At 40.6% G+C, this 13,110-nt stretch overlaps 1 protein-coding gene across 3 annotated transcripts in view, besides 1 other annotated feature; it reads left to right on the forward strand.

Annotated features, from left to right (window-relative positions):
* Positions 6,658–6,887: a silencer, noted in NCBI's record as "silent region_15614". NCBI's record gives its function as "represses an Ori minimal core promoter by ATAC-STARR-seq in GM12878 lymphoblastoid cells {active_cell/tissue: GM12878}" and the evidence as "EXISTENCE:reporter gene assay evidence [ECO:0000049][PMID:35858748]".
* Positions 6,891–13,110, forward strand: part of HADH (hydroxyacyl-CoA dehydrogenase) — a 45,283-nt gene continuing 39,063 nt past the window's right edge. For all 3 annotated transcript variants that reach the window (XR_007096395.1, NM_001184705.4, NM_005327.7), the window contains exon 1: positions 6,891–7,066. Coding sequence is in view for 2 of the 3 variants with exons in the window: in NM_001184705.4 (NP_001171634.3) it covers positions 6,935–7,066 (132 nt within the window). In the remaining variant the exon portion in view is untranslated. The remainder of the gene's footprint in view (positions 7,067–13,110) is intronic.

The following is a 13,110-nucleotide window of genomic DNA, read 5'->3' on the forward strand; positions in this document are numbered from 1 at the left end:
TTCGAGACCAGCCTGGCCAATATGGTGACACCTCATCTGTACTAAAAATACAAAAATTAGCTGGGCATGGTGGCACATGCCTGTAGTCCCAGCTACTCTGGAGCCTGAGGCAGGAGAATCACTTGAACCTGGGAGGCAGAGGTTGCAGTGATCCGAGATTGCACCACTGCACTTAAGCCTGGGCGACAGAGCGAGACTCCATCTCAAATTAAAAAAAAATTCTAATTAATATATTTTATTTAATATATAGAATTATTAGAAATAGAGAAAAACTCTATATGCAAGTGTATCAGGAAGTTAAGATGTGCTCTGGTTAAGAAAAAGTTATAAGGTATGAGAATTTTTTTGTTAAGGGAAAAAAAGAGTAACTTTTGTCCTCAAATAGAATGACTGGTTGTTCCAAAATGTGAAGAGGAAAAGTACAGGACAAAAACTGAACAGATAAGGAAGTTGTAGAAGTTTTCTGGAAGATGAATCTTATAAATGGAGTTTTATGTGTGATTAAGCTGGCTAATATTAGAAGAAAATTATTTGAGTTTCTCCAAAAGTTGAGCATTAATATCAAAAGTACACTGATGCAAAACTAGAATGTAGTCCTCTCTGTTAAAACAATAAGGTTTTCTTGAATTGTTGGCCTGCTCTTGATAGGAAATTATGAAAAGTTTTTCTTTACTTTTTATATAATTGGCCTAGGAAGCAAAGATTCTGTATTTTACCAAGATAATTTCCTGTGCTTCATGTTGCCTTTATTGGGTTTTTGATCACTTATGAAAACTGAGTCCGCTTTATTAAAAAATGTAATTTACAACTCTGCAACTCTCTGTATTTGCCTTTGAAGTCTTTAAATTACCACTCTGATTAAATGAATGATTATTGTTCACAGTGACTTGTGATCCTTTTTTGATCAAATGTTTTAAACCTTTGATATTTTTTATAAACTTTCCAAAATAAAATTCTAAATTAAGTCTTTTCTTGAAATTGAATTAACTTTGAGATTTTCCATATGCACCTTCAGAATATCTCAAAAGGATATCTCTTGTTATAGAAAGAGACATATTAAAGTAATTGGACTGATCTGATATATTAAATTATATGGAAAGGATTATAAAATAATAAATAATACTACTTTTTTTGAATTATATTTGTATAGAATGTGTTAATATGTATTTCAGAAATTGTGTAAAATTCATAGAAATCTAATAGTTCTGCTATAAAGCTATCAGTCATAATTCTAGTAATTATCTTAAAATGTTGAATACAACAGAAGTAACTGAGTTTCCTTGTCAATTGTGTCATTATTGTAATGAACTCTTCCCAGATCTTTAAAGTCATGGCCATTTTAAGTCTTGTCATTCACAGATAGTTAATTGTTTACTCTGATACTTTCTGAGAAACCATAAGCCTAAAGTGTACATCTTCAAGGAGATTTATGGAAAGAACTCTGAGAATTACAGGTTTCTCATAACTTTAAAATCACACCATTGGGTTGGGTAAGAATTCCCAGACTCTAATGAAGAAATTGACTGATTCATAAAACTGCTAACCTAATGTCACACAGAATAAAAATAATACAAAGGAAATGACTTGGGCAGAATTTCATGCTAATTAAGCCAGTACTGAAATTAAGATATACAACTTGAATGAACTATATAATATTGATCCAAGTCAAATTACATTTGATAAAACCTATTCAATAAATAGTGCTATAAGCACCTGAATTGGGGAAACAAAGTTGGTATTTAAGAGAATTAAATCCAATGTTAAGCCTGGATGCATGAAGAACCTGGATGGCTGCCTGGTTCTTCTGGAGTCTTAAATCTTCCAATATTAAAAGCTCTGCACTCCATGACTCATTATGGAGGAGATAAAATGATTCAAATTATGAAAAAAGATTGGTGGGGTGACTGTTATAAAATTGCTAAAATAGTTTATAACCAATGTCTGGTTTGTCAAACCCATAATTGTGGTAAGACAATAAAAACTTCAGGTGATACATTTCCTGAACACCTACAAATGGCTTTCATTCAATTTCCACTTTAAATGCATGTTTTCTGGTTGTATAGAAGATTTCCAATGCAGGAAGGCCAATGATATAACAATAGCTAAAAGGTTATTGGAAAATATGTTTCCCTTATGGGGCATTGCCGGAGAAATTTCTAGCAACAGAGAGGTATGCATTTCACTGGACACGCTGTAAAACAGTTAAACAGGTATTATAAACACAATAGCTTAGGAAAAGCTAACTGAATTGATTGGATTGCCTTGGTCAAAGGTATTACTGATTGATGGCAATAAGATCCATTCCCACTGTAAAACATAAATTGACCCCTCATAAAATAGTTACTGGAAGGCTTATGCCCCTAATAATAAAGTCTCATGTATCTTCCCCTCTTATAAACCCTGACATGACTTAATAGTGCAAGCCTTGAATGCATTCTGCCAAAGCATATTTTTACCAAGTGAAAGAAGTCCTTCATGACCCACCAACTGATGACAACCAAGTGTTTCATAATATAGAACCTGGAGGTGGGGGTCTTTTGGAAATAACTCCAGAGAAAGACATTACTTGAACTCGGTTGAAAGGGACCATACCAAGTTCTTCTCTGCAGCAAACTTCAAGGCCTTGAATCTTGGATCTGCATTTCTCAACACAAAAGAGGTCCTGTAGACTTCTGGAACTATAAACTTGTTGGAGACCTTGAAATAAAGCTGATCAGGGAAGTTTTTCCCTAGAAGCATATGGCATCCTATATGTAGACAGCTTTCCTAATATTGCAGATCAAGAGTTCTTTGCTATCATGAAAGCCTTCTCTTTTTTTCCTTTTTTCTCTATTTCCTGCAATACTAATTCCTTCCCTTTCTTTAGGAAAACCCTAAATAATGCCAGACTTTTTTGAATTATATATGTAAGGATATGTTATTAATATGTATTTCAGAACTTGTAAGAAATTAATAGAAATCTAATAGTCCTGGTATAAGGCTATTAATCGTAATTCTAGTTGTTATCTCAAAATGTTGTATGCAACAGAAATAACTGAATTTCCTTGTCAATTTGGGATGATACTCTGTGGATGGCTTTGGCAAAGTCTTATGGTCTCCAAGAAACCAGAGTAACTGTTGGGTTTATGAGCTAATGCGCAAAAATCTGGAAACAATTTCATTAACGCTAATGCCTGTGTTCCTAATGAGAGTCACCCTGCAACCCCAAGGAAAGAGAGGAAGGTTATCTTTGATATGCTACACATCACTGCTACCTGCCTTCCTATACTTGCTGAAAATAGTATCTTGATCTTTCCAGTTAATAACCAAACTGTTACCAAATATAAAAAATCTGGATAGAGGGGATTGGTCAATGGGTGCAAAGTTACAGTTAGACAGGAAGAATAAAAGCTGCTATTCTATTACACAGTAGAATGACTACAGCTAATAATAATGTATTGTATATTTCAAGATAGCTAGAAGAGATGATTTTGAATGTTATCCCCAAAAAGAAATGATAAATGCTTAAAGTGACATATTATTTAATAATTATCCTGATTTGATCATTGTTCAACATATACATGCATTGAGACATCACACTGTACCCCATAAATATGTACAATTATTATTTGTCAATTGTACATAAAAGTAAAAAAAAAAAACTATCAGAATGATGCCTGCAAAAGGTATCTTGTGCTTCCGGGCATTGCATACTTAAGACGTTGGGGACTACCTATGTGGGTACAAATAATTGCTTGTGTGATTTCACTGGATTAAATCTAGCAAAGTCTTTTTACTAGATCCAGTGGTTTGCACCCTTACAACATGCTATATAGGGACCACAGAAGAGTAAGTTCACCACTGGATTTTATTCAGGAGCTATGCCAACTTGTGGGTGGACAAATTTAACTGACCTCGGCTCAAACACCACTAAGTGGCCCTCTTTTCAAGCCCCCAAGGGCCTACATTGGGTTGGTGGATAATCTGACCTGCCTTCTCTGTTGTTTCCTCACTGGTTCAGATCTTGCTATTTGGCCTGGCTCGCTCCTACATCCCAATAGCCTTCCCTGAAAGTTCCCATAATACCTTTCATAATCAGAGGTTAAAGCAGTCAATAACCAAAGTAAGCACCAACCTAAAAATAAATGAAGACAAGTTAGTTTCTACTGAGGAAAGGTTCCAATGGAGGTGCTGGAACTCACTCTTGGCATTAGCAGGGTGCCTGTTGTATGGAATTTGAAACTAATCTATAAATTGGGGAAAATCTTGAATTTGTAGCCAGTCAGACCTCCTAGGGGTTCACATGGTAGAAGCTACTCAAATATTCTCAGTGGATCAAAACATTTGTGTTCAACAAACACACTTCATGGAACATTACACAACTTTGGATCTCCTCTTTGCTCATGCTGGGGGCTCTTGCATGGTGCTGAATAAAACTGAATGTTGCACTTATTTTTCCTCTAATTTTACTACTATAGAAAACTTAATTTAAAAGGTGGCAGATACTGCTGTTTCTCTAAACACTGCCACTGAATATATTAAGGAAACTTCTCAGGGGAAAGGAACACATGATACATTTATGGGAGCAGCTAATGGTTGGTTTGTAGGCATCCTGAGTAGTGAAAGGCAAGCTAGGCTATTCCAAACTTTTCTAATCTTTATGCTTCTTTAGTGGCTCTCCAGGTTATTATAACTTGTGTTACCAGGCTAATTACAAAAATGGATACCTCTTTAAATCAGGCCATAAGGCTGAATCAGGTCATTCAGTGAACTATGGTCCTTGTAAAAAGTAAAGTAGAGGTTCCTTTTCAAAGACTTTCCTCCTCATCTGATTAGGAATAAATAGTAACCTCTCTTAGAAGCAAAATTTATTCAAAGACCTGTTAACATTCTTAAATATCTGCTAGCTGTAATAAAGAAATCAATGTACTTTATGTTCTTAGCTCCCACAATTTAGCCTAAATATTTGCCCTGGCATGCTTATACTGGTCCAAGTGGGCATTAGGTCATAGCCTGTTCCTCTTCCTTATTTAGAGGTGTTTTTCCCTTCTCAGCATTCCACAAGTTACTTCCTCCTTCCTTTGTTCTCCTCTGCCTTTGCCTCTTTTAAGAATTTCTAAGTTGCTAGCCAATCAAGACAAATACAGAATGTGAAGTCCCGTTCTAGCCAATGGAAACCAGTCACAACAGTAAGGTGGACGGGTCAGGTTATAAATGACCCTGCCTCCTTTGTTCGGTGTACTCTTGTGGCAAAACTGCTGGCGAGTGTACTCTTTCCGCAGAAAGTAAAAATGGCCTTGCTAAAGAAATTAATTTTATGTTCAAGTGCTATTTCTTTACGGCACCAAGAAATAAGCATTTCTAGCAGTCCTTAACCGCCATAATGCCCTAAATTAGACCATGACCAATTGGACTCAAATACTTTGAACTATCTTTATTGCCTGAACTTTGAATTGTTTAATTTTGATCAGTTCAGTTTGTGGAGACTCCTGTTAAGGTGTGTACCTCAGTTTATTGCTATACTCCTTCTCGTGGCCATAATAGTCTCCCTGATGTGTTGTTGTCCCCTCGAGAGTCTTCAATGTCTCTATGCAGCCATCCTTTGTACACCAAATGGTGTTATTACAGTTAGAATAACAACATGAAGAAAGTATAATCACTCAACTAATTTGACATTGTGACTTCCATACTGAGACAAAACAAGGTTCTGGTCAATCTCGTAAAACTGAGAGGCTGACCCAAAGGAGGAAACTGTTATTAAATTAAATCTGGCCTAAAGTTGCCTCCCTACCTAGCAAAGCATAATCAAACCTAATATGTAAATAAACTGCAATGTAATTTGAGAGTACGTTCTTCTAACAAGTGGCCAAGTCTTGGCCAATCACCGCAGCGGAGCTTTTAGCCCATTACAGGCTGCAAAAAATATTGTCTATAAACGCGGCTTGCCCACTGTTAGGGGCTGGAGCTCTCTGAACCTTTACTGGCTCAGGATACTACATGATTCATGCTTTCTTTGCTCAGATAAACTCTGCTAAACTTGTTTGAAGTTTTTTTGTTAACAATATTTAAACATAAAGCAAATAAATTAATAAGAATCCTATATCACTAAGTTACAGTAATTAGAAAGTATTCACCTGAGTGAGAAGATTGGCCAAGCTGCTATCCAGTCTTCCATTATTTGACAAGACATTTCTTTCCTATGCTTTCTAATAGTATTCGTTATTCCAGAAAGGTTGCTCTATGACCTTAAACCGTCCACATGTTCACTGCACTGATAGACGTCCAACGTCAAGATGGGTAACTAAAGGTCAACTCTCTCTTTACCTTCCCTGAGCCTGATTTTTGCATTGTAACTCATGGTCACTAGACATTTGTTTTGGGTGTTCGCAGTCTACATTTATTTCCCTTTTAGGGGAAACAATCACTGTCCACGGGATTAAAATAATCCCGAGTTGATTATTTGGTGACATCAACCAACGGTGCACATTTTGGGTCCATTACCAACACAGCCAAGCAGCACATATTTCTTCAGAGCCTAGATATGCACATGTCATCAAAGGATAGCATTTTACAGAGTCAACACCACTCACTTCATAGAACAAGGGGCCAGTGGCTTTTCAGAAGAAGGGTCTGTTCTCGGCCCCACACCAGAACGCCAGCCGCCAGGTCCCGCTGCTCAGCAGGTCTCAAGCCCGCGCTCACTCGGGCTCCGGCTGCTGACAGCTGCGAGCCCGCGCGTGTATACCCGCTCAACGCTGGGACGTTACAGCCAGGGCCAATGGGCAGAGCGGGACTCGAGGCCCCGCCCCCGCCTTGTGGCGTCACGGGGACGCCGGGGGCGCGCGGGCTGCAGGGCCGCGTAGGTCCCCGCCCCCAGAGTCTGGCTTTCCGCGGCTGCCCGCCTCGCGCGTCTTCCCTGCCCGGGTCTCCTCGCTGTCGCCGCCGCTGCCACACCATGGCCTTCGTCACCAGGCAGTTCATGCGTTCCGTGTCCTCCTCGTCCACCGCCTCGGCCTCGGCCAAGAAGATAATCGTCAAGCACGTGACGGTCATCGGCGGCGGGCTGATGGGCGCCGGCATTGCCCAGGTGAGCGGCCCTCCCTGCAGCGTGCCCACGCGCTTGGCCGCCCACCCTGAGGTGGAAGCTCTGGCGCGACCGGCCGCGAGGGGCCTGCACCCGCCCGACACCAGGGAGTTTTCACCCCGCGCCTCCCGGGTGTAGTTGAAATATCTCGCGTCTGGGCCTGTGAGGGCCCAAGTCTCACTCCCCTCAAAATTCAGGGTTCTGGGCCGATCCTCAGCTTCCTCGTTTGGAAAATTCTGGCTGCCCCCAGGGCCCGCTGAAGGTTCCATGGAGAGTGGCGGTGAATGCATTTTGGAAGCGGGCCGTGCAAGAGAAGAAAGAATTGTATGTGCACAAGGTTCAGGCATAACGCGTTTGTTCCTGCTCGGCTCAAACGGGAGTTTGCTGCCAAAGACATGAACTGCGATCAGTTTTAATTCTATCAGTTATTTTTGATTTTTATTCTGTAATTGTGCAGTCTTTGTCAAAGTAGTTTTCTCTCCTAAACGGCCTCCCGGCTCTCCCCGGTCTTTCCTTCGCTTGCTAGGTTGTAAAGAATAGTAGTAGTCATGACTTTTGTAGCACTTTGTAAAGTCACCTAATGGAAGATTGCTGAGGTCCTGGTTTTGACCTTTGAAATAGTGCCGTCTGTGCAGAGTTCTGAGCTTGCGATTTTGGCGCTGCAGCGGAATAAGTCTCTCTCTTTTTTTTTTTTTTTTTTTTTTTGAGTCGGAGTCTCTTTGACCCAGGCTGGAGTGGAGTGCAATGGCGCGATCTCGGTTCACTGCAACCTCCGCCTCCCGGGTTCAAGCGATTCTCCTGCCTCAGCCTCCCGAGTAGCTGGGATTACAGGCGCCCCGCCCGGCTAATTTTATATTTTTAGTAGAGACAGGGTTTCACCTTGTGGGTCAGGCTGATCTCGAACTCCTGACCAAAGGTGATCCGCCCGCCTGGCCTCCCGAAGTGCTGGGATTACAGGCGTTAGCCACTGCACCCAGCCGGAACAAGTCTTTTATCCATTGTACATCTTCAGGGCTTTTCCATTGTTCTGCTGAGCTGTGGTTCAGGCTCAGTTGTGCGAGTGATTGATTACCTGGCTACTGTAATGCTTGTACTTTTTTTTTTTAAAAATTATTCCATTTCAGCTCACATTGGAGAACCATGGTTTTCGTATCCTAGCTGATTATATTCTTAGCATTTCAGTCCTTTGCAACTTGGTTTGTTGGGGAAGGCGGTTATAGTCATCTAATTTTTCTTGGGGACAGTACTACTGTGGCTACAGTCATGAGAGAGTTTACTTTTTCAATGTCTTGTTTCCAACCAAGTCCACGCTTTCATGCTTGCTTTTTAAAAACAAAAACAAAAAAACCTTTTACTATTAGGTATTATATATCTCAATTTTCTTCTCCTTGGCAAGTTTTTTACAACGTTTTTATTTGATTGCATTTTCTTCTAAAAGCTATATCCCTGTAATGTTTTATTTATATGACTTCTTACAGTCTCCCATTTCCTCTGAGACCATAATTTTGGACATACATTGCCCTTTTTATTGTGTGGATCCCCTGGCTGCTAGGTTATAGTATCCCCATAATCTATGTTGTATGTGGACTGGGAGGAGTAACTCCCTTTAACCTAAAAGTTCCACAGGTTATACTCAAGAGAAAGTTTAGTTTGAGTACGTTTGTATTCCCAGGCTCCACCCAAATCTCCCAAGGCTGTGAGAGTGAGATTTGTTGTGAGCAGGAATAGAACAATGTGTTTTTTAGAAACATTTTAACAACATCTTAGTAACAAAATATTAGGGCCTTAAGCAGCCTCCAGGAACATTATGGGAAATGGATCCAGAAACTTGTGGCTGGTGTCCTTGAAGACAGCAGTGGAAAAAGATTAGAAACTAAGTAGAAAGCGTCACTTCAACTTTTGTAGAAAATCAGAGTGCTTAGTTCTTTGAATGCTGCATCCATCATTGGCCAAAAATGGATGTTGTGTTGCATTAAAAGGCAGAGGGGCAATACCTAAAATTACAGGTATGGTGTTGGAGCTTTCACCTGACAAAGGAGTAAGGAGAAATGATTGACATTAATGGAGAACACAGGCTTGTGCTTGTCAATCAAACTCTTAAATAGGTGGACCAGGGAGTGCCTTTTGAAACTTAAGGGAAAAAAAAGCTATTTATGCCATAGGCTGGACACATAATGGAACTGTCATTCTGAAAGGTTATAAAGACCAGAAATCTATAAAGTGGACGACCATAAGAAACAGTTCCATCCTTATGTAACACAGTTTGGAAAAACCTCAGTTACTTTAGTTGACAGCTCCAATCCTCTAAAACATTTGTGAGCAATGCTTTGCAGTGGTTTAGCTTATCTGCTTTTGCACCCTACCCTGTAGCATGCAGTTCTAGGCAGTATTGCTTCATTCTTTATGCTCCTTGACCAACAGCTTTTGGCATAGGGTAAATCTGTTTTGCTTATTGAGTGCCAGAGACGAATTAGTTGATGTGTTTTGAGTACAGATGGGCTACAGTTCAATATAAGAAGTTGGATGGTCTGCATGCTAGCTCTGCCTCATGCAGTATTAACATGGGACTTTACCTCTGTGTCTCGGTTTTCTCATCTCTAAAGTAGACTAATGCTAGTACTGGCCTCGTAGGGAGAGAATTGAATAAATTCAATGAATTCATGCATATGTCAAGCAGTTACATATATCAAGCATATGTCAAGCACTTACACAGTGTCTGGCATGTAATAAGAGTTCACAGAAAGTTAGCTGCCTTTATAATAATTATCTTCGGCCCGGCATGGTGGCTCAAGCCTGTAATCCCAGCACTTTGGGAGGCTGAGGGGGGCAGATCATCTGAGGTCAGGAGTTCAAGACCAGCCTGGCCAATATGGTGAAACCCTGTCTCTACTAAAAATACAAAAAAATTAGCCAGCATGGTGGCATGTGCCTGTGGTCCCACCTACTTGGAAGGCTGTGGCAGAATAGTCTCTTGAACCTGAGAGGTGGAGGTTGCAGTGAGCCGAGATCGCACCACTGCACTGTAGCCTGGGCAACAGAGCGAGACTCCGTCTCAAAAAGATAAATAAAAAGAATAATCATCATCTTCATTGCAGTTGTCCTGTCCTTTTGCCCTTTTCCCCTCATATCCACTCCCATCCTGATCACAGCTGCTGAGGTAGGCCTGTAAGGTTTAGATGGAGAATATTGGTCATGATTCCCTGTTTCATCTTGCTTAATCTTGAATGCATATACCCGCTGATGCTGCAGCGGGTATGTTTTTTCAGGGACCTCTGAAAGGAGGGAGAACACTTTTTAGTTACCCCCCATTTTATTGTTAAACTTTAGTAAAGCCATAAAAGTACAATCACAAACTAGTATTGAGGTTATGTTACTGATTTTCATTAGCTTAATTTTCTTGAACTTTCTGACGTGGTTTTAATGTTAGTCAAGGTGCAGTTCTGCTTATAATTTTAATAGTTTTGTCATTTTAAACACGTCAGTTTGTGCTCAGAAGGATGAAAAAATATTTAAATAGATTTTGTGGGAGCCTGATGCATTTCTCAAGCAATTAAGCAATTTAAGACAAGTTCAGTGCTTAATTACATTTGATCAGAGCACAGGCCATTTGTACATGTGTATTTTCCGAGAGTATCTACTTTGCCTGTCATTTCTTTTGTTTGTTTTAAATTAAAAAAACAAAAAATCCCTTAGACTGCAGGTTAATATTTGAAGTTAACTTGTTTCATGTGTTTGCTTATTACACACTTCTGACTTGGTTTTGATTGCTAATTTATCTTCACTGGATACTTAGGCCAATAAAGAAGCTTATAGGATTAAATGAGCCTTGAGTGGGGGACAGGTTGTTTTTTTGCTTTATAAAGAGGAAAACAAGAAAGGAAGAAAGCTGGTAGCTGTGTGCATTTCTCCAGTATTGAATCCTTTCTAGGCTTTGCTTCATACATTGGGTTTTTTCATATGAGGAGCCCAGAGAGAATGCATAGCTTTCATTAGATTACTTGTGAGGAGCCAGTGGGCTCCCTGGGAACGGGGCACTTCAGATGTCCCCCTTGAGACACTTTACATGCTCTCCGGGTGCAACCTTCTTTTTAGTGCACTACTCTTCTTTGAGGAAGTGAGAAAGTTTGCATCTTAAAGGGGGTTGGGGATAGGTTCTTCTCTCCCAAAGCTTGCTTTTTTTTTTTCCTCCTTTTTAAAAAGCAGAAAGTGCATATTTTTTCTAGAGAGAGCTTCTTTGGCTATTAAAAACAAAGTAAGGGCAGGGAGAGCCTGCTACGTTGCAGGGATTTTGTGTGACTCTACCATGCTTGATAAGGATTCAGGTAGACCTGAAAGCTTCTCCCCAGCCACTGGATTTGTTCTCTCATCTCTTCTTCTTGCCCCCAAATCTGCATTTTCTGATGCTGAAAAAGAGAATGATCAGAGTTGTTTCATATTTTTTTAGCTTTATTCTCTTCTACTGTGAGTACAGCTCTGTTGAGCTGTACAGTACAGTACTGCTTTGCTTGCAAAGCAGTACAGATGCCTAGGAGAAGTTTCAGGATCACAGGAGACCAGCAGTTACCTGGCTGTAAGCTCTCCTTTTGACTGTTCCTTATGGAGGGAATATTTGTACTCCCAGTTGTTACCTTCCTGCTGAAGGACATGAGATGTGTCTGTTTGTTATGAAGTTTTCCCCCTACTTCCCGAGTTGTTGCTTATCTTTGTTGGGCTGTTCTCTGCTCTTGGTTGAGGTACTGGGATGTAGAACCACCCTCTATTAGCATATTAGTTATTGGACTCTGGGTGAGGTTGGAGATACTGTCATTCCTAGAGGGTAGAAGAGGTAGGGCTCACAGGCAACAGAAAATAATGCTATGGGATATGTTTGGACATTTTTTAGAGCAGAAATGGCACTTCAGTCAGTCAGGTTTTGGCATTTTCCTGCCATGTTCTGCCTCCAGCTTTAATCACTTGCCCCTTGCTTGAGTTTCTTCTTTCTTCCCCTCTCCCTTCTCTCTTATCTGTGGTAGGCACACACACCTCACTCTCTAGTTCTCCTGGGACCACAGGAAGATAATGTGGATGTTCTCTGTGGCTCCCCCTGTTATATTCATGATGTTATTATTTCTGGTAGTGGTATTCTAATCTCAAAAGTACAGGCTATGAGGTCCCTGCCAGGGTTTAGATGCTAGCCTTCCTATCCTGCCTTTAGGAACCTTGGGCAAATCACTTAACTCCTCTCTGCCTCTTTACTTACCTGGGAATAATGAGACTCACCTGACAGCTGTGAAAGTTAAATGAACTAATATACAAGCTCCTAGAATAGCATTAGTGTGTTTGATAGTAACTGTCTGATAAATATTAGCTGCTTTCACATAGACCCATCAGACCTGATCTAGTGAGGATTTCTCTTAGATTGTCTTCACTGTCGGAAGAGTTTTGATATAGGGAGTTCCAGCAATTCTAAAGATGTTAAGACTTATTTATGTGGGTTGTTGAGAAAGATAGTGTACCATTTACTGGTTTTTGTAGAGCTAAAACCACTCTACAAAATATGACACTTTATTCTGTTCAAAGAATTTTGATTTATTTAATTTCATGTGACCATTACAATAATCACCCCTGCAGAGATGGTTCCTGGGGTCAATGGTCAGAGGCAGAGCTGGGGTTAGAACTTGAGTTCTCTTCTGTTCTGCTGCCTGTAAATCCCCAAGCCTGAATTCAGTTCTGCCTGCACCTCTGGCAAGTGCTGTATTGTGGGGAGAAGTGTGGCATCCATGGCAGGGGATCCTCTGTGGCTCTCTGGAATCAGTACATCCCAGGTTGACGTCTCCTTGGCTCTGGACTCAAAGTTAGTCTACCTGCTGGTCGTCTACATCAGGGTGCTGTGCTGCCATCCTTCTGCCCATGGTAGACTCAAACTCACCTGCCAAGATCTAATTCATTATTTCCCCTCCAGCTTTTTCCAGAGAGCTTGCCCCTCCTGTTGCTGCAGTTGTTCTTCCAGCCACATGTACTCTGAAGATGGGATCACAATCAGTGTCTCCATACCAGAAAAGGCTCTG

The sequence above is a fragment of the Homo sapiens genome, chromosome 4 (genome assembly GCF_000001405.40).
Source record: "Homo sapiens chromosome 4, GRCh38.p14 Primary Assembly".
NCBI classification, from domain to species: Eukaryota; Metazoa; Chordata; class Mammalia; order Primates; family Hominidae; genus Homo; species Homo sapiens.